This window comes from Homo sapiens, chromosome 18, assembly GCF_000001405.40.
Source record: "Homo sapiens chromosome 18, GRCh38.p14 Primary Assembly".
NCBI classification, from domain to species: domain Eukaryota; kingdom Metazoa; phylum Chordata; class Mammalia; order Primates; family Hominidae; genus Homo; species Homo sapiens.
The window spans coordinates 75,214,506-75,241,223 of NC_000018.10; the positions used below are offsets into that span (position 1 = coordinate 75,214,506).

At 43.2% G+C, this 26,718-nt stretch overlaps 1 protein-coding gene across 2 annotated transcripts in view, besides 1 other annotated feature; it reads left to right on the plus strand.

Moving 5' to 3' along the window:
• TSHZ1 (teashirt zinc finger homeobox 1) overlaps window positions 1-26,718 on the plus strand; it is a 79,148-nt gene that overhangs the window by 3,709 nt on the left and 48,721 nt on the right. The window lies entirely within an intron of this gene.
• Window positions 20,831-22,030: an enhancer, noted in NCBI's record as "BRD4-independent group 4 enhancer chr18:72947291-72948490 (GRCh37/hg19 assembly coordinates)". NCBI's record gives its function as "activates an origin of replication core promoter dependent on BRD2, P300/CBP, MED14 and CDK7 cofactors, and independent of BRD4, by STARR-seq in HCT116 cells {active_cell/tissue: HCT116}" and the evidence as "EXISTENCE:reporter gene assay evidence [ECO:0000049][PMID:35650434]".

Here is a 26,718-nt window from a genome sequence, read left to right on the forward strand (position 1 = left end):
ATAACATCCTGACTGTTTTTTTCTTAAAGCTGCATGTTGGCCTGCCTCACTGTTCCATCCGTAACTGATGAGTTTTTCTTGAGAGTATCTTAGTGTCAAATAATTGATTGTTTGGTAGCCAGGAAGTTGGTGGATGACAGATGTAGAATAGCAATACTTCACAGTGATGAGAGAGGAAGGGAAAATTATCCAAATGAATCCTCCTTATGTAAAAAAAATAAAGAAATACTGCTCAGAGGAAATGGTCCCTTCGTAATGAAGCGGCTTCTTAATTATCAAAAAAGGTAAGGTTGTTTAGCCAGCTTCATTAACAGGCCCCTAATTATCTGTAAACCTGATGGATTTGTGACAGGCGTAACGATTAATGCGGACAAATTCAGTGAGCTGTCAAGTTTGCATCCCGCTTGATGTAATCACGTTGATATTATACAGTCCCCATAGCCTGTAGTGCAGTATTAACTCAATTTGCTGGTGCAGGTGACAAATGGACTTTGCTACCTGACTAATCATGTCACCGAGACAATGCTGCTTAATGACCTCCGTAATCCTGGCTTTGAACTGTGCAATCAAGCCAAGACAGAAAACCAACCACTCAGCTGTTATGTATTTTTATTTCTTCAATGCTGAAGACCCTCATGGTTATAGTTGCTGTGACTTAGACATGCTGTTTTAAGTGAAAGGGAGGGACAGGCCTGAAATAAAAAGTTATTAAAAATCAGTCTTTTCAGGTGTATGCAGAATAGATCTGTACCAGAGAATGTCGCTGGCTGGGAGCACACCGGGCCGTCTCCAGTGATTCTCATGCCATCTGTAAATATGTGGACTAGGGCAGGGCAAGTCTGTGTCTGGGTAAGAATTATACCTGTGAAATCACAGGAGTGTGCCTCTCTCAAGATGGTGAACATCTCAGGCCCTGGTAGGCCTGAAATTCCACCCTGGCACACACACACAAAGAAAACTGATATTGAGAAAAAGCTTAAACGGTGGATATCTCAAATTTTGTCAAGCTGTAGAAATGGATGTTTAGATTCAACACCCCAGTTGTAGCTCTCAGTTGAACAGAGGAGGGAAAATGCTTGATCCTAAAATGGCACCTTTTCCTCCCAGGAAGGCTAAATGATGAACTTCCAACTGCAATATCATTGCAAAATATTAAATGATGTTGATTGGATGAGTAAGTAGATTTCAGAGGTAAACTGCTTTTATAAATAAGATGAACAGGAAATATTCTGTGAAAACATGTAGTGTCTGGATAAACAATTTGTCTTAGTGGTGCCACTGTAATGGCCGCCCTCCTACCACCCTGCACACACAGGTTGTAATCCCACGGGGAGGGGCCGTAGCATGTATTTACATGTGTTCCTTTGTTAGTATTTTGTCAGCTACTTAAGGCTGCCCTGTTCTGCTGGGAGTGTGTGTGCTGGAGTCTCTGTGCTTATACTCTGTGTATGTGTGTCTGTGTGTTTGTGTTTGTGGGTGTGTGGTGGGGGAGGGTTGGAAGGGGAGGGGGGCTGGTCAGTTTTATTCATTCATTCATTCACTAAGAGATTTAGGCGCCGCCTGCGTATGCTTTCTGAATATTTAAGTTTAATTTTGTTAATTATTATTTATTCATACAGGGGGATGAAAATAGTAAGAAACAGTTTTGAATGAAGACCGAAATATCTTTTTTTTAATTGTAGGCATGTCTTATTTCCTACTCACTGCATCTCTTTAGCATAACTGTTAGCAAACAATGGATAATTTTCTTTCATTGCTTATTATGTTAATATTATGTTAATGTATTTAAAAACATCTAGTTGTGTAGTATACTTCAAAATTACTCTTTAAAAAAATGGTGATATTGTGTATTTCCTGTTGCGGTGCTTGTGATGTTTACAGTGGTGGGGTAATTTGTGATGAGCTCTTCTAGGCCAAATAGAAGTGAAACTGGATCTGGGTAGGAAGTTAGAGATTTTATGTTAATGTATTGGGGAGGGGAATACATTCCAGAAAGTTTCTGTAGTATCTATACAGGCCGATAACGAAAACTGTTTCACTGTAAGACCATTTTCTCCCTAAGACTTATCATACCCTTGGTTATAAGAGGTTTTGTGTTGTCTTAGGTCAGAAGTAGTATTTTAGAAATCACTTTGCCCTATTCTGGTCGTTGGATGGCTGCATATGGGTGCAGAATGTGTGAGCTATTTTTTGTGGCTGCTTTTGAAAGCATATTGGTGATGGAGTTGAACCAAGACAGTCGCCCAGGGTGGTGCCCACCAGTGAGGCTTACGTTTCAACAGAGAGCAGGGAGGAGGGCCTGGGTGGGAAGGAGGAAGTGTTGGGGTCAGGATGGTATTGGCTTGGGGAGCTTCTGGAAAGGCATGGTCCACTGGGCCGGGACCCACTCCTGTTTCTGCCTGTGCATTTTCACTCCAGCCAAACGCCAGACTCACCGAGGAGGAGGGCCAGGGGAAAGGTTAATTGTGCCCTGTGCCGCCTGATCATGTATAGTAAATGCTATCAACAGAAAGTTCCTGATCAATGGCGCCTGCTTTCTAGGCATGCTTTAGCTGTGGTGGTGGAGAGGCCTGGGCAGGGGTTTGCCAAGAGTTTTGGCTGCTGAAGGGAAGGCAGGGCCTAGACCTTACTCCCTGTGTGTGGGGCAAAGTGCCTTAGGCAGGCCTCTGCAGAGGGCTGCTTGGTTCTTATGAACGATTAACAGTGTCATAAACAGAACATCCCAAGAAATAGATAATCATTGATTGTGTGAATTCACATTTGCAAAGAACACTTGCGATAATCATTTTCTTTTAGGAAGACAACAACTTGACAACCTGTAAGGGATTCTGAATCGAATAATAGAACTAGTTTGTCCCCTCTCCCCTCCTCCAAGGGTTTTTTTTTTCTACTTTCTGTTTTTTATTTTATAGACCAAATGGAGCACTTGTCATAGTAGTGTTTTTGTTTGTTTTGTTTTGGTTTCTTGTTTGTTTTACTAGGCAGAAAGGAAAGTAAAGACTGTACTTTGGAGGCATTAGAACAAAGTTGTAAATGATATCTTCTGGTTTATCCTTTTTAAGAAAACAATGAACCAGGTTTTCTTTTTGGAGAAAGGAATCCTTGTGTGGTTGTGCCTTTGTTGGGCTGCGTTCGCTCTTGCTAGACCGCAACTTTAATAATGCAAGACTTTTATGTTTCATGCAAAATATTATGTATATGGGTTTCTACCTGCATGGCGTGTCACGAAGAGCATGTTGTTATGTTGATCGTGGAAAGAAGGGACTTAGGGAGATTGAGTATTCTCAAGTGGTAGCTAGCACTCACAGTGATGACAGAATAATGACATTTATATCTCATGAAGAGAATGGATATTGGGTCGATTGTTATAAAAAGAAACCTCAAAGAACATAAAAATTTAAAAATATTCTGAAAACTTAAAGAGGTGTGCTACCCAGGGGGATTCTTTCTGTTTTTAGGTACATGTTTTCCTCTCTTCCCCACCTCCCACCTTTTCATTTGTGTAATCAAGCCCTAATGCCTTGACTTTATGTGTAAGATGTGCACTATTGTTGAATCATAGATGGGGCAGATATTAGGAAGGGATTAACTGCTACCAAAACCCAGGTTTCAAACAAAAGCCAGGACAATTTAGGTAGATTAGAGCAAAGGAAAAAAATATGTGCATAGGAAGGGTATTAAAGCTGACAGATGAACAGGGCGAGGGACAAATTCTCCTACAGCAGCTGTGACTGCTGCCATTATCTTGACAGGTGTCAATTAAGAATTACTGCCTGCTGGAGTCATTTTTCCAGCCCAGCTGTCTGCGTGTGAAAGAAATAACACTTTACCCTTGTCACTTTGTTAGTTCTTAGCTATAGCCTCAAAATGAGTGTTGGTGTGCTAATCGATAACTAGTGTATTAGCAATTTTGCACATTGATTTATGAAGGGGAACAGCTCCTCCTGTACAGTTATTAGCTGCTGATTAAATGTGCCTATGCCCAGCTAAGGGTGGATATATGTTCCCTGAGAGGCCAGGTCTAGAACAATCTTCTACGAGACTATGGTTCAAAACACTTTCATCATTGTAAGTCGTTAACTAGACAAGCCCCACTTAGCCAAGGGCAGGAGCCACACCTGCACCTGTACACTGTGGGGGCCGGGCTGGGGGGAGCCGTTCCACCCTAGCAGCCTGCACCCACGTCAGTTCTTATTGTTTTCTTGGTTCCTCTCGGAAAAGCCTATAAAAAGTAAATGGTAAATTACTCCGGGACAAGGCTCAAGTTCACAATGGACAAAGAACAGCAAGTGTTTTATTGGAACTTTCTTAGGGATGAGGCGGAGCCTCCCAGACCCTACCTGACCACAAGAGAGTAGTCAGTCAATACTCTTTGCTGGGAGGGCTGTTTCCTGGTCGAAAGAATGGTGAACATGTATATTTTTTTTTTACTCAAATTTTTTTGAGTCAAGAATACCATTCATGACAACAATAAAAATAGATAATGGCACAGAATATTAAGAATGAAAATAACTGAAGACAAAATTTATTTGTGATAAAGCATTGAGAATCCTTGTGAATACCTTCATGGTGAAGGGATTGAAACAGTTGAAATAATTTTTTAATGACATAATATTTTAGTATTGATTAAGGGTGACAGTAGGTTGCTGACAGAAGAGAATGCTAAAGGAAATAATTTGATCTAAGGGATCAGGGTTGTAAAATGTAAATATCAGCATGTTTGATAGATTTAATAAAAGGTGTAGCTGGGCAGAGTAGAAACAGGTAATTTTTTAAGTTTTTATCAATAGGGTTGATAGAGGATGCCCTTACAAACAAAATAAAGTACCACTGTATTTTTCACCCAGGAAGGTATTTATTTATTAAGTTGATAACATTTTGAAAAGCAATGAATATAATTTTTGGGACAGCAGTTTGCAGGAGCGATAACACTCCTGGAATTGTAGACAGCCTCCATGATCATTTGTCCTTGAGATACACTAAGCACCATTGTTATGACATCACTTAGGTGGAAGTAAAGGTTAAATCGGAAGTAGTTCAGGGTTTTTTTCTTGCTATAGAATAATTGTAGTCTTTGCCATGCAGTCTTTGCTTTTTGCTACAGACTTAGATTAAAGAAAAATATTCTTGAACTCTTTCTTTAGACTTTTTGGGGGAAAAACCCCACAACAACGCAGTATTCTTCAGGAATATAAAAGCCTTTTTAATAGCAGTGATAATCTGATGCAGTCTCATTGCTAGAAATGTTTCTAATAAGAAAATAAATGAGGGTCATTCTTTGCACACGTGACACGAGTTGTATATGTGTGTAAGTGTACTTTGTACTGCCTGCTGGTTACGTGCTGAAGGCACGCGTAGGTGTGCAGAACAGGACTTGTTCTCATACCTGTAGATATGGAGGCACCTGTGATACATGCACAGTCATATGTGACCAAGCCCGGGGTTGTGATGCCATGGTGTCCAATTGTTTATGCACCCCACACTGAAATAGAAAAACCTCAGGACTGTCAGGAGTAAGAGGCCTCACACATTTTCCCCAGAACACCGCATAAAGAGGAGTTTTGTTACATTTTAAAATCCAGTGTTAATATTTACTACTAGAGAACCCTTCCGGAAGCATGAAAACCTAAAGACTTAGGCTTGCGGGCAAGGTCCTTCTGCATTTAAAACACTGTGCTCCATGTAGGGCTAAAGTGCTAGTTGACAGCAACTCAAACAAAATATTAATTTTTTTGCGTGTGTGCCTATTTTCTTGGGGGACATAGGAAATAGTGAATTGCATAGAGATAAGCATCCTGAACCGACTCTTTTTTTACATTTTAACTTCACTGGAGAAATATATTGTTAAATTTATGTACTTAGAAAAACCTAACAGTGTGGCTTACTGAGAATTGGAATAAACAGGCCTCCTGTTACCATTTTTAATGGTTATTGTCAGGCAAGGAAAAGAGGATCATTTCTTGAGAGATTTTTGAGCTCAGTTATGCTTTGGTACTTCCTTCATTAAATCACCTGCTTGGATTTTCTGGTTTGGGAATATCTGGATTGGATTTGTATTTTAATTAGGGTTAAACTGTTTATAGATTCCATTGTCTTACAGTAAAATAAAACTAAAACATTAAGGTGAAATCACAACTGTGATGTTCTTTTCACTTCATATTTCCTAGGAAGGCCTATTCGCTAAGCCGCTTGTTTAACCTTTTCATGTTTTCCAGGCTCTCGTTTCTGGATTTGCTTTTGTTGTTCATCCACCACACTGCTGCAGCAGTAAGCAGTTTTCTTAGATGATAGACATTTTTTTCTTTCTATGTCCATTGTGTCTTTCTGAAATTCTGTGCCAACAGGAACAGGGATTTGTCTTGTGTTTTTAAAGGAAAAAAGTCAAGAATCAATTACATTATTGTAGATTTTTACCATTTTTATTTTCTCTGCAAAATATAAGGCAGGATTTCCTCACTCTTGTGATCGTGGCGCATTCTGCAGGAAAATAGCCAAGTAGAATCCCTCCAAGCTCCTGGGCACAGGCTGCTCCCAGGCTCTGCCTCCCAGCAGAGCCCGCGTTAGCCATCTACATACTGAATCGGATGTGCACTTCCAAATTTGAGATGTAGGCATTTCTGCCTCAACTTGCTAGCTGCGATTTTAAAAGGTGTGTTCTAGTATATGGTAAATATAGGTCAAGTACTTACATGCTTATAAATTCCAGTTTAAAGCAGGCACGAAGGCATGGATCTATAGGAGCGAGTGATGGGCACAGGCTGACTCGAGTTTTAGAAAATTTGGTTATAAAAAATATCCTCAGTTTTTAGTTAAAAGTAAAGTGCATCTTCAGCAAGATCATATGATGAAATAAATTAAATCAGCAGTGAAGGTCAGTATACATTCTGACTTGGGAATGTGAACTTTTCAGAAACCTGTATTTATTACATTTTACTATTTTTAAAAGCCAGCTGCAAGATTCATAGCAAGAAATGGTACGACATACCAATGAATGCTGAACTGAAGTGAAGGCTCTTTTCAAAGTGGTTAATATGCCTTATTGGCAAGTCATCCCTGGTGCCTGTGTCATTGTTATAGCTGGCTTTAAAATATATGGATTTAAAGCACAAGTATTGTGACTAATATTTATTTCAAGTACAGAATGTGTCACAGCAGTAGGGCATCCTATTATTAATGCAGTAAACTGTGTAATACTCTATAAGAGCCTGCCCTGCTTCAGTTCTTAGCTACATGAAAATAACAGTAAAACATGTCTGTTTTCTCCTGCCTTGCTTTATTGTTACCTGGGAAGGTCCTGGCATCGAGAAAAGCCAAATCCGGGCAAATAATATGACCATAAACAACACCTCAGCATTACTGTGCTGTGCACAAATCTCCTTGAACTGCCTCCAAACTTTGAGAATATATACATATGTATATAGATTAATATATATGTATATATTTTAAAATTCTTAAATTGAGGGAAGCTGCTATAACTCTAGAAAGTAATGGGAAATAAATATTCTAAGTCAGCCAGGAAGTGATTCAGATTGTTAGTGCTTGGTGCATTGTCTGTATATGAAACACTAATATTCTTAATGAAAATAGCGCACTGGCGGTTTTAAAAGGAAGCCGCGCACAAAGGTCTGTGTTGTGTAGCGGCGTGGCTTGTGTGCTTGGGTTAGAGGGGGGTTGTGCTACCTTGCAGCGTTTTATTTTTGCAGTGGAAAAGTTGCCTGACTTTTTTTTTTTTTTAAGCAGGTATTGAACTGGTATTATTTGTCAATTTAAAATCAGTAATGAGAATTTATTTTAGAAAAAGGAAGCAGAAAGGATCTCATACCTAGGTGGAGAGTAGGTGCAGAGAGGGAGTTTGTAACTTGTCTTTTCTCCCTACTTTTCGATAACTGGAAAAATTAGTGTCTCAAAAGCTTTCAAGGAGAACTAACTTAAAACTGCGATGTTCACAAAAGATCGTTGTCTCCTTTTTTTTCTCAACTCCTCCTCCTCTCTCTACGCAGAGCTCCGAGAAGCTGGTGGAATGGGGTCGAGGGATGGTCCGGGGCTTGAGCACTCCAGGAGCTCAGGTTCAATGCTGGTGACAGCCACCCTGTCCTGAGATCATGGGAGGGGGTTTTCGTCCTCCTCCTCTCTGGCTTATTCTAAATTATGCAAAATGAGATGCTAACTATTTGCTCCAGGCAGACTATGTTTAAACCCAGTTCTCAAAGACTGCCCCCTCCACCCCCCTATTTTTTGTGGAGACACATTCGAATCCAGTAGGTGCCCGTGTACGTGGTAACCTAATCCCAAGGTTCTCAAGCAATTTTCTGAAAGTAGGATCTTGTTGTGGTGTTTGGCTAAATTTCTGGGAGTAACTGGCTAAAGGCATTAGACTACTGAGAGTCTGGCCTATTCCCAAAGGGTCTCTGCAAATTAATCACCCTGTGAGCTAAATTTGTTTATAGACATATTTGGAATGGAGGAGATCCACATGGGATCCTTCCGTTCATTTGTTCTGTAGAGCACCTGCTCGGAGTATTCTGTGGTACACCTCCCTGCCTCCCAGCACTGCGGTACTTGATATCTCATGATGGGTGTGAGGGTGATGATGAAGATAATAATACATTTATTCCTCCGTTCTTCCTCTTGGGAATTCACGGCACTCAGTTATCTCAACGAGAGTGGAGGCGGTACAAGGGATTTAGGGATACATGGAAATTATATATATATAAATTCGTTTGTCTGTTTCTATAGCAATTGCTTCTTAAAAATAATTTAGTAGTTTAATACAAAAGCAGTGGATGGGTTTTTATGTGCTCGTATAGGGAAGATTTTTTTAGTTTCACACATGTTCAGTTTTAATGGGTAATAATTACATCTTTGTATTTTGATGTCAGGCTGGTTATGAGGCCTAATTCTGCAGGCAGCCTCCTCATTGATTTGCACCTAACTGCTGATTTTAGAGAGAGGGAGTTGCAGGCCAGGATCCCCTTCTGTTTTTCAGACAAGTTAACACATAAGTGGCTCCTTCAGTTCCATTTCAACAGACAGTTGCTTTCCTGGCCTGTCTTCTCCAGGCCCTGGAATCGAATATACATATGGTTTTGTGGTTGGGGCTTTTTTGAAAGACAGATTCCTTAAAAAAAAAAAAATTGTCCCCCACTCCCTACCCCGCCTCTCTTGCTAGGCATCCTTTTCCCACCTCCTCACTCGAGTTTGTAGTTTGCAGGCCTGATTCTCTGCAGCCCTGGCCCTGCATGTGCTGGGAAAGCAGTAAAAATGAGCACTAATCAATCTTCCAGAGAGAAGCAATGGGCATTAGAAGGCCGCTATCCTGTGACTAAACACACCCCCTTTATGGAGTGTTGGTACTAATAAAGGCCAGCTTATTACTGAGGCAGAGACCAAAGCCTGGATGAGGTCAACCATGACTGACAGTCATCAGTCATTCTTAATGATACTTTTTCCCGTGCTTTCTAAGGGATTCTGAGCAGAGTGCAAATCATTCGGGGTCATTCATAGTTCATGTACCCACAGATGGCAAAGGTTTTGAAAGACTTCAGTTTAAACTTGTAAAAAAAAAAAAAAAAAAAGATCCTCACTTTTTTTTTTTTTAAAGGAAGGGAAAATACCCCAAAACAAAACATAGATTTTTCTTATTGGAACGCTTTCATGTTCTTTCAACCTAATAGATGTTTTACACACTACGGTGCTTGTGCATTATTAAAAGAGACATAAATTTATGTTTTATGACGTCTGTCTTCTTTAATTATTACCTTTGATGTCTATTGGTGACTAAAGAGAGCTTAACAGGATTTCTTTCTCTTCTTAAATTTCGCATCGTGAAACCCAGCTAGTCCCTGACAGATGTCTGTTCCTCACCTTCAGGATTATTTTATAAATCCCTTTCTGATGAGCGGAAGTGTCAAATCAAGGACAGGTCATAAAGTAAAAGTATAAACCTTTTAAAGAGAGACCTTGGTAATATATAAACATTCTGCACACTATCTGAATTTTTTATGGACTAAAGAAAAATTATATTTCAGCTGGAGGAAGGGAGAAGTTTAAACATCAGCCCAGATTTTAATGTATGATCCCCCCCTCCCCGCAATACTCTTATTTATAGCCATCTAAGAAACCACTGGCTTTATCGGCTATTTTAAACATTTGGACTCGATTTGGAGCCTGCCTGTTAATTGTCCATGTTTAAATTCAGAAGGTTGACTTTGAATCAATGCTTGCACACAGTATAGGATACAGGGTGGTGGGGAGGGGTGCGGCGGGCATTGGATGTAGGGTAGAGGCCTGGGTCTTTGTTCTTTCATTAATCTCTTTTTCCCTGTTCTTTCTCAAGCCTCAGTTTCCTTCTCTGTAAACAAAGGGCTTATATTATTAGAGAATTCCTAACGCGTGCTATTCTACAACCATGTGATCCATTGCACCCATCTTTAGCACCCCTGAGTTGGAGGAAGTCGCCGTCATGAAGCAACAGCTGTCCTTTTTTTTTTTCTTTCTTAGAAAAGCTGGTTGTACTTAGAGAATTTGCTTTTGGTAAAATTTGAGTTTATTTCTACTTATGAAATTGGAAATAAGCTGAAATCAACAACTTCTGGGCCCTCCTGCCATTTTCATGTCAAGGCACATGGAGACATGTCAGTGCACGTGGGACGTGGAAGCTGCACAAGGGGTGTTCTTGGGTGTGGACGTGCATGGTGGGCGCACAGGCCTCTAGGAAATGCTTCCTCGGTTCTGGGCACCTTCAATCATGGATGATGGGGCTGGAAACTTGCCTATAGCTTTTTAAAGAAAAATTAAATATTTTGAATTGAATTCAGCAATTTCTTGAACACCTACTGTTTGTGAGTGAGGCCTGGCGGTAGGTGAGCATGGCGTGGAGCTCGCGGGAGAGTTGGAGATGTGATCGCTTCTGTCCGTGTGTCAGCGTGATGGCCTGTCCACGCCGCTTTCTTCTGACTGTGAGCTGGCCCATCTCTGTACGCTTGCCCCACAACCTCAGCATGCCCTTTGGAACATCAGAAGTCCCCCACAGCCTCAGCAGGTCTTCTGAGAACTAGGAATTAGAGCCCCACTGTCGTGGAAATCAACTCGTCATCAAGTAGGGCCGACAATGAGACAGCTGACCATCCTCCACATTCCGAGCCTGAAGGGGAAAGGTTTTCCCAAGGAGAGGTGCTGGTGGGCTCGCACGCCATCCTGAGCACAGCAGACAGCAGTTAATGCAAGACTATATCTCGGTGGCGGGTTTTACTTAATGTTCTTTATTATGAAGAATAGCGATACCTCAAAGCCATACATTTTTTGAGAGTAGCTTCTCCATGTTGATTTTTCTTTGGATGGGTTGCTTAGAACGGAGCCAAAAGAGAGCCACTTGGTGGAGAGGCAGGTTTGCACTTTGCCCTGTTTTTGTGTATGTGGATGTCAAATGTCAATTTGTTTGGTAAAATGTGAAGCTGAATTTATAAATCTGTGCTAAGCAATTAGTTTGGAAATTAGTGCTATCTCTAGGAAAATCCCCTTAGCAGGCATCAGATTCAAACGATGCAACTCAGTAGGTGTGGGGGCAAAACTGCAACATATTTTCAAGGCAAAATCTTACAAATATAAACATTATATCAAATATAAACATATGTTTGCAGTGTACAAATGTCTTGCATATTCAAAGCAAATAAGTCCTGATGGGGGAGGAAAAAGTATTTGGATGTAGCCGTTATGTTTAATTTTCCTCACACAGTCAGTAGATAGTCTGTGTCTGCAAAGGATTGGTCCTTTCTTGCTCCCCACTCACCCAACTCTGTGGTTCTAGAACCTTCTATTAATTCCCATTGGTGAGCCCATGAAATCTTTGATTCCTTCTTGATTGCTCTCTGAAGACGCCTATCAGGCACTGTCTTATCTGTTTGTAAAGCAGCTCAGGCCCCAGATTTAAGTCATGGGTCTGGCTACAAGTTAGAGTGTGATTAATAATTGACTAATGTAGCTTTTATTTATCACAGGCTAGCACATTTCGCCATTACTGAGTTAATTTATGTTAAGTGTAAGCTGTCGTTCAATCTGTTTTTCAACTTTTTTTTTTTTTTTTTAAATCCTAAGTCTATCTTTCACTTTTGGAGAAACAAAATCCTCATACAGGGCACAGACACACTCGATGCCAAAAAGTTGATTTCCTTTTCCCTGGAGCCATGCATCACCAGCCCTCCCAGCCGCAGTGTCAGCCCCTGACAGAATGACATGTGTCATTTATCAAAGGGGCCAGGCCGGGCCTTGGGAAACGCCGCCGACAAAGCCTGAGAGAGTTCATTTTGCAGTCCCTCCTACCCTCTGTGAGCCCCTTGCCAGGAAAGCCTGTGATGTTTCTGTCTTCAGAGCATTACTGTAAGTCCTTCAACCTTCACAGAATTAACCCTCCCCACCTCAGCCCGCTGCAACAGCTCCGAGGTCCTGCCTGGGAAGGTTCTGAGACCCAAAGGAGTGATTGTTCCAAGCCCAGGAACACACAAGCCCCCGGCTCTGTAGGGACACCCCATGGAGTCCCGGCTTTCCGTGCAGAAAGCATGACCCAGGTGCCCCTGCATCTCCCCACTTTCTAGCAGGCTTTAAGGATTCAAGCCCTGAGTAATACTCAGTGAGACAAGGTCAGAGGCATAAAGAACCAGCAGCAAAGCATTTCCCTGGTATCCAAATTCATAGGTCCCCCACTCCTGCGGCAGAAGTTTGGTCTTCTATTTTTTTTTTTTTTAGAGTCTGCCTAATAAGTGTTTTACTCCAGGCTATTTTTGAAACCACCTACTAAACCCGATAGATGTTTCTTCTTTTTCTCTGTTGCCTAGAATTTGTAACCCCATTCCCGCCTGCATAAAGACAGTGATGAGGTTCGAGTCTAAAAGTTGCTAAAAAAGGATATTTTGGAGGAGGAAGAGAAAGGGCCATTTTTGCCCCCAGATTGTTTACTTTTTATATAAGTTCCCAAACCACTAGAAAACCACCAGAAAGTGCAAAGGAAAAAAAAAGTCAGCCAGAGGAGAGCATGCTGTGAAAATATAAAAGCATTTGGCTAAAATAAATGTTTTTTTCTCTTGAAGAGTAGAGTTTTGCATTGTAATCATGTGTGAGAATGTGAGAAAAGTTATTGTTTCTCTCATCCCCACCCCTTTGTACTTCGTACAGTCCCTACCACACTGAAGTTATTTACAGCATCAGATACCATTTAAAGAGATAGTGAAGGAGACTGTTGCCTTCGCCAGGAACTTTCCAGAAAGAAGTCCTATAAATTAGCCATTGCTCAGGAGTGGCTGTTTCCTAGGCGGAGCTAGCCCTTTCATTTTTCTGCATAAGGCTAATTTATTTTTGCAGCCAGATGTGGGCTGACAGCCATCACTCAGGGCTTCCTTCCCCCGCCGTTAGGAGGTCTGGAAGACAGTCACGTTCCCCATTTTGCAGAATCCCCATCAACATTATTGAAGATGGATGTATCTTTAAAGCAAAGATTGATTGTGGATATCGGAGTTATGGTGTCATTTATCATGGTGAATATTATTTAGACTTGGGTTGTACAAGGCTGTAACTTGAGACACAGCCAGGGGAGGGACAACCTGAAAACGCGGATCCATGAATTTTAATGGATGGATGCTTTTTTCAAAGCTCAACTCACTATAGCGTGATTTACTTTTCTTACTGCAAGGAAACAAGCATTTCAGTCTTAAAGAGACAGCATGCCAGTGGTCCTGTTCTGTGGGTTCCACCCGGGAAGGCATTACCAAGGGCAGTCAGAGCCCAGGCAAAAATGCTGAGAAGGCGTGAATGGTGCAACAGACTCTGGCCATAGACATGTACATTAAAGATGGCTTTCCAGATGGATCTCCTCCTCGCCATCCTTATAGGACCCTGATAGGGTTAGAAATGGAGATGTACCCCAGAGCTCACCATTATCAGGGCAGCAGTTAAGATGCTATTTATTTGAAGCCAGCTAACCTCTCCTAAGTGCTACAGATAGCGGCCATTTATATTTAGGAAGACAAATGAAGCCCAGGCTCTCCCGTGTCAGGAGCATGATGCTGTGGGGAGAACGCACAGTTATCCTTGTGTGCCTAAAGGTAGTAGCATATGCAATACAAGCAGTCTTGTTGACCTAATTAATATCAGTCTTTTTCATTTTGCTTCAGGATGGCAGCGCTATTGACATTTGCTCAGTAGGGAGTTGGTTCTAAGGGAGCTGGGTATACAGGATGGTGTATCCAAAGTTGAACCTCTCAACGGTTGGTCCTCACATCTCTAGTCCTTGAAAATGGTGGAGATGGTCTAGTGCATTTGTCCTTTCTTCCAGGAGCACGGATCCCAGCATCTAGGCATTCACTCAGACACCAGGGAACAAGGGGCATCCCACTTTATTTCTAACGAGATGCTTCATGTACCAGAAACCTGGGGCTGCTGGTAGCTATTAGTGGCTTAGGTCATGGCCCTTTGGCCCCTAAGGCGTTTTATTTGTTGCTAATGTTGTTTTATTTCATCTTTCCATTTCAGGGGTTTTGTTGCATATGGTGGATAGAGGAGCTCTCAAAGTGAGTGAGGGGTTGGCCACAGTCAGCCCTGGGCGGGGCAGGTGTTGGGCGTGCTGCCCTGGCCTGCGTGCAGCCATGTGACATGCCATCCCAGGGCAATCTGGGGGTGGGTGCCACCCGACCTGCCGGCCCTCCTCAAAGCCCACCTCAGCTTTGATGCTCAGAGAGTGTGGCTTGCACTGCAGAGCCTAAAAGCCCTCTTTGGCTTTTTAAATAGGGAAGGTTTCTTGGAATTGTACAGTCTGTTAAACGAAAGTAACTTTCTTTCCAGGATTGATGCGTCTCATCTCTGGGAGCTTCCGGTCCGATGGTGTGAACTGCTTTCTAGTATAATGGCCCACACTGTATGCACCATGCAGGGGGACCCATCGGAGCACCTGTCTCTGTCTATGTGATTGCTCACTGACTTGTTCACGTCCTTGTAGGCACTCTGCTCCATAAGGGCAGGGCCATCTTGTTCTCCTTCCACTGTCAAGAGTCCAGCACGGTTCCTGGCTCATAGTCAGAGCTCCCGGTGCTTGTTGAGGGACTGAAGCCCCTCCTTGGGGAAGCCCTGGCTCTTGCGAGGACAGGTGAGTGTGACAGTCTGTGACATGCGGTCTATGACGTGCCGACCCTGGGTGCTGGCGATAGTAGGTGAAAGAAGAAAGCAGGAAGCTGTTTTTGGTTTCAAAGTGCTAACCCAAGTCAGGCAGTGGACTGGTTTTTTTGGAAGCTACCTTCCATGTAACATCAATCTAACCTAAAAGAAACAAACAAAACCCAGTGTAACAAGAAAAGGGGGCAAAGAAAGATGGTGAAAGGAATTGCCCATGCCTCCTTTTGAATGTTAAGTAAAAACAGGAAAATACCATCTGGAAAAGTAATCTGTTCATCATTATACATCTACTTGTGGAAATGCTCATAATGGTGGTGATACTGGGTATTTTAGAGGACAAATACCAAGACATCCTCTCAATCCTATTATGGTTTATAGGTCTGTGTTTATTTGCAAGTTAAAAGCACATTCTTGGCCTTTTAGGAACATATGACATGTCTACAAACAGGAAGTAGTTTATCAAATTCATATGAATCATGGCATCTATAGTGTTGGCCGAGGTCAAATCATTACACTAAATGTATTGTAACCATTATTAATGCACAGGGTCTCCTGCCATCTTTGTGATGTAGGACTGCCGTTTCCTGATTAAAAGCTGTTTGGTGATGAGAAATTCAGCAGCTCCTGTCCGTCCTGGAGTGACTGACAGGCACCCAGAGCTGCCGTCCCTGCTGGAGCAGCGTGTTCCTAGGAGCGCACCTTACGGAGGGTCCTGAGTGCCAGGAAATACAGGAAACAGGAAACAAAAACAGAAGTGACTCAACTTTCGCAGCCACAACTGTGCATCCATAAGGAGGCCAAATTTATCACGGCACATTATGGAGCTCAGCAAATGTCATGAAAACCATTGTTTTTTAATTTTTTTCTTGGAGAGTTTGAATGAGGTGATTTATGGTAGTTATTCATCTTAAGGGTCATCCATCAATTTTTAGTTGCTAGGCAATCAACCCAGCAGCTGTTTGCTTTGAATCAAGCTGAAAAGTTGTCAGTCACCACACGCAGGTATGACCTTAGTGGTTGCAAACATCATGCGTGCGAAATTAAAGAGACGTCGTCTTCTTCCCCGATTCCCCTGACTTCCCCGTGATTTGTGGAAGTGGTGCGAACCCTTCCTGGCTATTACAAGACAAATAAGAACAAAGGAGGGTGTGGAAAATTACTTGACTGGAAACTCACAGATACTCTTCCAACGCTGTATTTTACCCAAGTTCCCTATGCAAGCTGCATGGGATGGATTATAGAAGTAAGTGCCATCAGTGGATGGGAGGTGAACCACTTGATTTATAATATTTAAATAAGCCAGTTAAAAAAAACCTGTCAGTTCCCTTGTGGGGAAAAACCAAATATCAGCATTTCTCAATGTGCATCCCAGGCTGGAGGCCAGCCTGATGGTGTTTTTGGGTTGGCTGTGGGTGGCATGTGAGGAGATGCAGTTTCTCTCCAGTGGTGGAGGGTGGGAACTGTGCGTGGGCCTGACAGGCTCTGGGCACACGAGGCGCTGTAGGTGCCTGGCCCCAAGCCTGGCACAGAGTGGGTGCCCAGGTGGTGCCCACTTGCTCCCTCTGCTGAGATCTCAGGCTGCTGTGCTGGCAGGGGCAGCTCAGGCGGGTGTGGCCCTGGAGCCAGGCTGCCTTTGCCCATTACCACAACACTGTGATCCTGCCTGGGGCATGGTCCTTCGGAGGTCATTTCCACAGTTGCTTGGTGTGAGTCCTTCTCTGGCCTGGGGCTTCTCCCCAGATCTTTGTATTTTTGTCCACTACACCAGAACACTGTGAGTCTCATTAGCATTGTTGACCCCAAGAAGACATTTCTAGATAGCTGTTCCTTGCTGGCTCATGTGTAAACAGTGTTTCCTGCCTGCACTCTGCAATTTTATTTATTTATTTATTGATACAGAGTCTCGCTCTGTCCCCAGGCTGGAGTGCAGTGGTATGATCTTGGCTCACTGCAACCTCTGCCTCCTGGGTTCAAGCGATTCTCCTGCCTCAGCCACCTGAGTAGCTGGGATTACAGGCACCCACCACCACACCCGGCTAATTTTTGTATTTTTAGTAGAGACAGGGTTTCACCATGTTGGCCAGGCTGGTCTCTAACTCCTGACTTGGGTGATCCTCCCGCTTTGGCCTCCCAAAGTGCTGGGATTGATGATAGGTGTGTTCCACTATGCCTGGCCCACTCTGCGATTTTAGATCTTCACAGGGCTTCAAAAATTATCCCTAGGAAGGAAAATAAGTGCATGTGATGCCTTATTTATTTATTTTTGAGACAGAATCTCGCTTTGTCACCCAGGCTGGGGTTCAGTGGTGTGAACTCAGCTCACTGCAACCTCTGCCTCCTGGGTAGCTAGGATTACAAGCGATTTTCATGCCTCAGCCTCCCGAGTAGCTAGGATTACAGGCCACAATGTCTGGCTAAGTTTTGTATTTTTAGTAGTGACAGGGTTTCTCCATGTTTGTCAGGCTGGTCTCGAACTCCTGACCTTGGGCGATCCACCTGCCTCAGCCTCCCAAAGTGCTGGGATTACAGGCGTGAGCCACTGCGCCCGGACTTTTTTTTAGTAATTGAGGCTAGATTTCCCTCATTTTGAATCTTTCAAGCAGGAATTTTACTTTGCCTCTCAGTTGAGTTTTAATGCGTCTACACAGATAATTTACACCAATAAAGCCAAATTTTAGGGGACTATGTGTTGTATACTAGTATCTTTTTACATTTGATAGTTTCAATGGACTTGATTTTGCTGATGGCCTTTTAGACCATGTAGCTGTAAGATGTTTTGCATGTATTTTGGAAAGTCTAAAATAAGTTTAATTTGGAGTTAGGTTTGTCTTTCTCAACTTTGCATTGAGAGAGATATATATATCTTATTTATTTAGTAGGTATTTCTGAGGGTCTGAAACACGTCCTTTTGACAGATAGTTCTGCACATTGGAAAAGAGAGTTTTCTGATCTAGGCTTTTCAGGCGCCAGTTCTATTTCTGGACTCCAGGTAAACCCTGAAGGAAGTGGAGTGTGCCCCCAGTTCATTCACATTTTAAAGATGGTCCCACATCTTTTACTTGAAATCCTTGGGGCCAGATATGTTTTGGAATTCAGAGCTTTTCAGATTTTTGAAAAGAAATTTAGTGCATATACTGTATATTTTGCAACATCCTCAGCTTAAACATGAGATTTTCTACAGATAAATGGATTAATAGTCACAATACTTGGGTGAGGAAAGACTGGCAGTAACCTCATGTCTGTTCTGGTCAGGTTAAGTTTGCCACGCACAGTTAGGAAGACTCTTCCAATTCTCAGGGCTGCCTGTGGTGAAGGGACTGGGGGTCTGTATTGGTGCACAGCCCATTTCACAGGATGCCTGTCCCTATTTCTGTAGGGCTGGTAGCCTGCCTGTGTCCAGCAGCCTGGGAGCAGTTATGAGCTGGGCCACAGCCTCAGCAGCTCTGGAACTCCCGGCTGCTGTCATAGTTTTCTGTGTCGTAGGAGTTCTCTTTGGAGTTTTCTCCCATGTTCACATATAAAAGTGATATCAGTTATATCTGCAGTCTGCTCCGTTATCTCTTTAAATCATTGAACTGTGGAAACATATTTTACATCCCAGTATATTCTCATGAGTCTTATAAAGTACAAACTTTTCTCACTTTTGGGGGAATTTGGAATTAGTATTATGGCACACTTTACTTAGGAAAAACCTGAAAACTTCCCCTAACAACGTTCCAGGATGTTTCTGCTGATTTTCATGGTGAATGTATAAATATAGTGACAATACTAAAAAGAGCACCCTGCCAATCATGTCAGCTCTTTAAGAAATATAAGAAGATGGATGCCGATGTTATGTGTGTTGGGTGTGGATCACCAGTTGTTAACGTCTGAGAAGCACAGATGTGTTGGGATGGTTTCTTGTTTTATTTTATTTTTTGGAGTAGGGGGACATAGTATGAGTCAGCCTGGTGGATTAATGTTGGAAATCTGCAAGTGCTCATAGCTTCTGCGTTTACAGAACCCTGAAAGAGAAACTACCTGTTTGCTGGTCTGATAATCCCTTTCCTAGTGGCCTTCCTTTTTGAGGAGTGACGTGGGGCTTCCTCACACTTTTCACTTGGAAGGACTATTGCATACTCTGAATTGTCGAAGTCTACCTTGCAGCACCTTTTTTCTAGCGAGCATCCGCACGCCCGGCTTGCACACTGTGGAGGATGCGGTTCACTGGGTGGGAAGACTGTCTTTATGCAGTGGTTTGGGAGGATTAATTAATTGATTTTTAGATGCTTTTACAAACCCTTTTGGTGACTCGTATTTGCACACATACTGATGTCCCTTTTTGCCGTCTTCAGAGCTCTTTGAAATGGAGGGCCACACTGGAGGCTTTGTTCTTTATATTCCATTTACCATCATTTAGAAGATACTAATTTTAGATGGGCTCCCCTCTACACACAGAGAGAGAAGCTGAAATCTATTCTGCAAGTGTGGGGGAATCTTGCACGGCAACAGCCACACGGCCAGTGAATACATGATGACTGGAGCCGGAGCCTGTGGGCCAGAGAGAAACGGGGCAGCCTGGGAGCCCTTTATTCAGAACTGGGATTGTGGGTTCCCTGCGCACCTACTCCCTGCGGCCGCCCTGGGCCCTCTCCTTAACTCCTTCTTTTCCTTTCCCTGCTGTCTTTCTTTCCATCCACTTCCTTATCTCTTGCTGCCATCTTCTCTGGCAATTTTCAGCGATACTTTAGCTTTAGAAGTGTTCCTCGTAAAGTTTTTGCACAGTTTTAAAAGTTATAATATTTTGCAGCATTTTGTGCTCTTCAGAGGACAATTGCTCCAAAATCTAATAAGTCATAATAAACATAGTTCTGGAGGATGGGATAGTGGCGATGCTCTGGGAATAATAACTGCTTTGCTAGGGCTTCTGCATGGTTATTTGAAGGGGTTTTTTTTTCCCCCCATTAAATTTTGCATCTTTTGTATATGAGATGGTCTTCATTATTGTGTTTTTATGGTATTTGGTTGGATACCAACTCAAATTAAAAAAAATGCTGTGAGGTTGTGGATATTTCTATTAACTTTCCTGTTAAATATGACACGTTCACCCATACATATTTCTATAAACTTAGTTCAAGGGTATCAGTAAAAATATTTTTCCTCCTCCCATTTGCTGTTCATAAAACACTCGAGGGAGGAATTGTTTCTGTGATATTTTAGATGGGTTTTACAATAAATTGTAGATATTGTGGTGCACCACAGTGCCTTTTATTTCATTTTCTCAGTAGACCCAGCGCATCGAAAGATTTTGTGTATTGAAAAACTGCTTTTGATGAGTAATAATCATTAGTTTTTCTTTTTTTCTTCCAGTAGTAAAGGTGTAGACCCCAGCCCCCAGGGTTCCTGGTGCTTGTGAGCCGTCAGCGTGTCACACCCGTGTTGTGAGAGGTTTCCATGCATTACCTCCTGCGCGTGAATGTGAGGGTTTAATCAGCACAGCCTTCCTGAGCATAAATCACGCTGCCTTAAATCCTTCTCGGAGGAACCAAGGCGGGGATGTAAATAAGAAATAAATATTGACATTAAACGTTTAATCCCCTTGGTTTCCTGACATGTGGCGTTGGGTCCCTTATGCTCATTCTTGCCTTTCTGGAACCTTCCAGGGGGACTGCCGGTCGTACGTTGATGCCATTGGGTAAAGAACCCCACAGTGGCTTTGACCTCAACATCAAAACTTCCCAGCTCTATACCTGCAGAGAGGGTGTGTCTTTTCTTTTGCTGTTAGATTTCTCAACTATAAATTGGGATGATAATACCTGGGACCGATTCCTACCTTGTGGAGTTCATGTGCTCATTTCTCCAACTGCTGGCCCATTCATTTGTTTATCTATCCAATACATACTCATTTTGAGTACTTGCTTATTTCTTGACAGTTCAAGGACAAAGTAAAAGCAGCTAAGAAGGTCCTTAAGGTAATGGAGCTCACGGTGTAGCAGGAGTATTTTGAAGACTGAAGTGGTTATCAATATTAACTTCATATGAAATATTTTATTATGCATCCTGTGGATGTAAAAATTTCATTGAGCAATGAAATAAATGTTATCAGGATTGAATATGGGAAACAAAAATTCCATTTTCCAATTCATCTCAGCCGTCTCCTCCTCCATGCCTCCCCGTGGTTTGGCAGCGACCTGCCTCTTGCCTCTGCCTCCTCCAGCGTCTGTCTGGCTCCTTCCTGCTCTCCAGCCAGCTCTTCCATTCTGAGATGGGGAGGCCACTCCTGTGCTGCGGCGTTGACACTGTCTTCACTGTCTTCAGGTTCTGCGTTTCAGACCTTGCCTCCACACCCACATTGAACAAGCAAGCTTGCATGATAGGAAGCGTGCGTGATAGGAAGCTTGCGTGATAGGAAGCATGCGTGACAGGAAGCTTGCGTGATAGGAAGCGTGCATGATAGGAAGTGTGCGTGATAGGAAGTGTGCGTGTGTAACATTTGTGGGGTGCTGGCCACCACCCTGCAGCCCTGCAGGTGCCTAAGGGTGCTGGGGCCTCCCAAATCTTTCCCCACCTGACCAGGGGTGTGTGTCTCAGCTGTTCTTCCCCCTGACCTTCCCACGAGCCATCACAGGAGGGAGATGGCGTTCTTTGGGCAGACCCAATTCTAACAGGTTCCCCTTTCTTTAAATCACACCACATTGTAGCTGCGTCTTCCCCGTGCCTCTCACTGGGAGGGAAGGGGCTGGACAAGAAGATGGACAGCTGTCAGGTGCACCTTTTCTATCCATATCCCAAAGTCACATTGGCACCTTTTAGATTATAAAACACGTTTAAGGGATGGCGTTCATTATTCTTTATAAATACTAATTGTAGCATTCTTCTGTTTTCAGTGTACCCTTGCAAAGTGCCGATATCTGATAATAATAACAATAGCTATAACAATAATAACAGCAGAAGGTTTGGAGTTTAAACTCCATGGGGACAGGGGTTTTGTCCGTTTTGTTCATTGCCTGTACAGGTAGTGTCTGGAACACTAGCAGTACTGCCTGGCAAATGATAGGCGCTCACTAAGTATTTTAGAGTTGCTGAATTGACTATATTCCTGACACACTCCACTTGCATTATATAATTTCAGTTTTATAGTTATCTTATTATTCTCTTCATTTATAGAGTGAGGCTTACGGAATTTAAGGTCCTATAGATAGTGCACACAGGTTGATGTCATAAGGTTACAGGGTAAGACAGATAGGGTCATGTAAGTTAAGCCCAGGAAGGTCTGACTCCTTGACCTCTCAAACCATCCGTAAGTTGTTAAAGCTTTAGTTTTTGTCATCTGTTTCCCTAGACTTTTTCTCGGATTGTTGTGGCGGGGAATAGCAGTGGGCTGGGATTCAGGGTAGCAGCGTGAGCCCTGGCCTTTCCACTAGGCGGCTTCTGGGTGGCCGTTAGTGCCTCAGTTTCTTCAGACGTGTCAACAGTGAGTTCAGCCAAAGGATCCTGAGATCTGTTCTTGACTGAGAGTTGCGTGTCAGGGCGGTTCCTGCACCTTGGTGTGAATCTTTCTGTTGCTGTCATGTTCCATGTATGAAATAAGAACAGTCAGGCCAGGTGCGGTAGCTCATGCCTATAATCCTAGCATTTTGGGAGGCAGAGGTGGGTGGGTCACTTGAGGTCAGGAGTTCGCAACCAGCCTGGGCAACATGGCGAAACCCCATATCTACAAAAAATGCAAAAATTAGCCGGATGTGGTGGTGCATGCCTGTAGTCCCAGCTACTCAGGAGGCTGAGGTGGGAGGATCACTTGAGCCCATAAAGTTGAGGCTGCAGTGAGCCATGATTGTGCCACTGCACTCTAGCCTGGGCAACCGAGAAAGGCCTTGTCTTCAAAATAAAATAAGAACAGTCATATATCTTACATGCATGCATATATATGTGTGTATACATATATACACACAGGCAAACATATATGTACACACCTTTTTTCTGTTTGTTTCTGTTTTTCTCTTGCCAGTGACTGCAAGTATTTGTAGGAGAGGCTGAGTGTCCTTGCTCACATCAAGCTCAAGGGTGAGAGATGTTTTTGGAAACAGTCCTCATTCTGAATAACTCACCATGCGTCTCATTTATGAATTAGACTGAAGCCTTCTTTCTTTCATTTATTTATTTATTTATTTATTTATTTATTTATTTTTGAGACGGGGTTTCACTCTTGTTGCCCAGGCTGGAGTGCAGTGGCGTGATCTCGCCTCTCTGCAACCTCCGCCTCCTGGGTTCAAGCGATTCTCCTGCCTCAGCCTCCCGAGTAGCTGGGATTACAGGCCTGTGCCACCATGCCCGGCTAATTTTGTATTTTTAGTAGAGACGGGGTTTCTCCATGTTGGTCAGGCTGGGCACCTCAGGTGATCCGCCCACCTTGGCCTCCCAAAGTGCTGGGATTACAAGCGTGAGCCACCACGCCAGGCTGACTGAAGCCTTCTTAAACAGGCTTATGCTTTGCTTGGAACTCTCCTCAGCTACCCACCGGTTACTGCTGTATTTGCAGCCTTGCACGTGACAGATGGAAGCAGAAGTTTCCCCGTGGGCACTCAGGATGCTACTGGGTGCAGACATGCCACGTAGACTAAGACTCATTTCTCTGGACACCCTCTAACTGCCACGGGCAACTGTGACTCATGATGGAACTCCCACCAGCGAGGTGTAGACGTGTAGTAGAGTCGTCGTAGGCAGCTCCTGTAGCCACCTGTGCGGGGTACGTTGGAAGCTCTAAGATGACTAAGAATTGGCAAACTGGGACATGAAATCACAGTGATCTGGGAAAAGCGTCGACATGGATGATATCTGGTTTGTTTTCTGTACAGGGGGAGTGTGTTCTTGGAGTGAGACTAACTGAGAAGATCTTATCCAAGGCAGGGACCAGGCTCTGCCTCCCCGAAGAGCCCCTCAGTAAAGGCATCAGGATGAAGACTAGAAAAGTCTGTGCGTTTCTGCAGGGTTTAGTGCTGGGGGAGGAGCTAGGATTTGGGGGGAGGGGAGTGTCTTCTTAAGAAAAAAGTACAAAATCATGAATGCAAAATCATGAATGCAAAATTAAGTATGAGGGTGACTGCTTGTTTAGTATGAGAAAGAAATCACAACAGAACAAATCTTAAAAAACTGAAAATGTGGCAGAATCTCAAAAAATAACTTGATTTTTAATTTGTTGCCTGACACATCTGTTTTCCTGCATCTTTGGCTGCACAGGAAGGTAATTCAGTCATTCCTTTAGCCTGGGTCGTGGGAAGTGGTTGTTTATTCCTGATGGCTGGGTCCAGGAAATACCTGGCCTCACGCACTGTCCAGCTTCCCCTCTGCAGTCTGCACAAGGCTGCAGGCCCACGACGCTGCCCAGGCAAAGAGGCTTGGGGCTGGGATGCGGCCACGCAAGATGGGAGGTGGCCGCGGTGTAAACTTCCCCTGGCCAGGAAGAGCAAGAGTGCCGTAGTTCTGCCATTTTGGAAGCCCACATGGACACAGGGTCCCCAGGGCTCTGGAAGGGCCAGCGCAGGCCAGGGGCCCTGAGGCTTCACCTGCATGTAGCAATCCACCTCTGTTTAGGGCCCTGCCAACTATGATAATTGTCCTTGTTATGTGAGTAATTGATGCTTCTGTATTAATGGTTTTATTTTATTTTATTTTGATTAAAATCTCAGGGGAGCCTCAAATGCATTTCTTAAGAAATTATATAATGATTTCATTATGGAAGAATACGGACACCTTGACCATGTGCTTGGTTTAATTTGCAAAATTAAATTTTTGTTTTAAACTTTTGGTTATGAAAACATCCACCCTCTTGAACATATCTCCTTGAGTGAGATTAAAGTCCCAGTCCTTTGTTTTTTTAAGAGACTGGATCTGGCTCTGTCGTCCAGGCTGGAATGCAGCGGCACAATCATCGCTCACTGCAGCCTTGAACTCCTGTGCTCAAGGAATCCTCCCACATCAGCCTCCCATGTAGCTGGGACCGCAGATGTGTCCTACCACACTCAGCTAATTTTTAAATTTTGTTTTGTAGAGGCAGAGTCTTGCTGTATTGCCCAGGTTGGTCTCAAACTCCTGGCCTCAAGCCATTCTCCTTTCTTGGCCTCCCAAAATGTTGGGATTCTAGGCATGACCCACCATGCCTGGTAGATTTTAGGTTTCTTCTTCTCTGATAGGACATGTACATTTATGTTGGAAGCAGAGAACTCAAAGCATTGAATACGAGGAGGTACGCGATGGGTGTTGGGGGCAGCCCAGCATGCTTCCACCATTTCGAGAAAACTCTATTTCTTGATGTTTCTAACATGTGTGGCAGGGTTGTGGTCATTTGTTTCCCTGCTTTTCTTTGTTGAATGTGATGAATATGGTAAAAATAGGATTAAAGTGTTTGATGTCCCCTCCTTGAGCCCAGTGATAGAATTTATCCTTCAAAGATAAATTATGAACTTTTGACCTTAGGGAATATAAATATCCTTGGAGAGTTTAACGTTTTAAGAAGTCAATTATGGTTTTAATAAGCAAAGCTAAAATTTGCTTACCGTTGCCTAAGTATGGATTTAGTTTTAAAGGCTGCCCTCTCTCTCTCTTACACATGGTTTTAGGATCTCAATTTCTGCCTGAAAGTGATATTTCTTAAAAATTTTAAGGATAGTGAATCTTACAGATTTTAAGGATAGTGAATCAGCTTTTAAAGAAAAAAAGGCATTGCTCCTTTTTTTTTTTTTGACCTTTGGTCAAGCTTGAAATTTTAGTGAGTTATATAGATAATTGTGAAGTGTAGAATTTCTGGCTAGGGGCCTGTGAGTACCCAAAGAGGGTTGGGTTGCTTGTGTGCCGCGTCCTGCAGTGGGTCCTGCCCCCAGGTGCACCGCGAGCCTTTCCTTGCTGTGAACAGTGAGATTTTATGATCTCAGTCCATGGGTTTCTCTCAGCTGGAGCACACTGTTTCTCTCCACGTAGCAGCAGCACAAGTTCCTGTTTTGACATTGTGTCAGCTGGTCCTCCTCCCCAGCGGGGGCGCCCGTGAGCTCCTCTGATGCTTCTGGTTGGTCCCCCACTTAGTTATGTGCCTGTGACTGCGTGGACACTCCCTGCACGAGGGTTTCCTCTTCTCCTGTACCATAAGGTACTTCAACAAAAGGATCCCATTGCACAATGTTGCAACCATTACAAGACACAAACCTACTCAATTTTGATCTTAAGAATCAGTAATTTTTAACAGGTTTAAAAACCTGCTATTTAGTTAAATGCATTCAGAACAGTGGCTCATTTGGGGGTGTTTGTCATTTGTAAGTACGTGGTTTGGTGTAGGAAGATGGAATCCACCTGCTGGGCTCTAGGGGCTCCTGCTGGGGTACCTGCACCATGGGCAGAGCCCTCATTACATTTTCTGGCCATGGGACAGTCATTTGCCTGTTGGCTGCTCCACGACAATTTTGTTTTCTATCATCAGTCACAGGTATTTATTGAGCACGTGTTGTTTTGGATGCTGGGAACACAGTTTCAAACAAAACACGTTCCCATGGAAGTGGGTCGTGTCTCTAGTATGCACCCAAGGGCTCTGCAGCT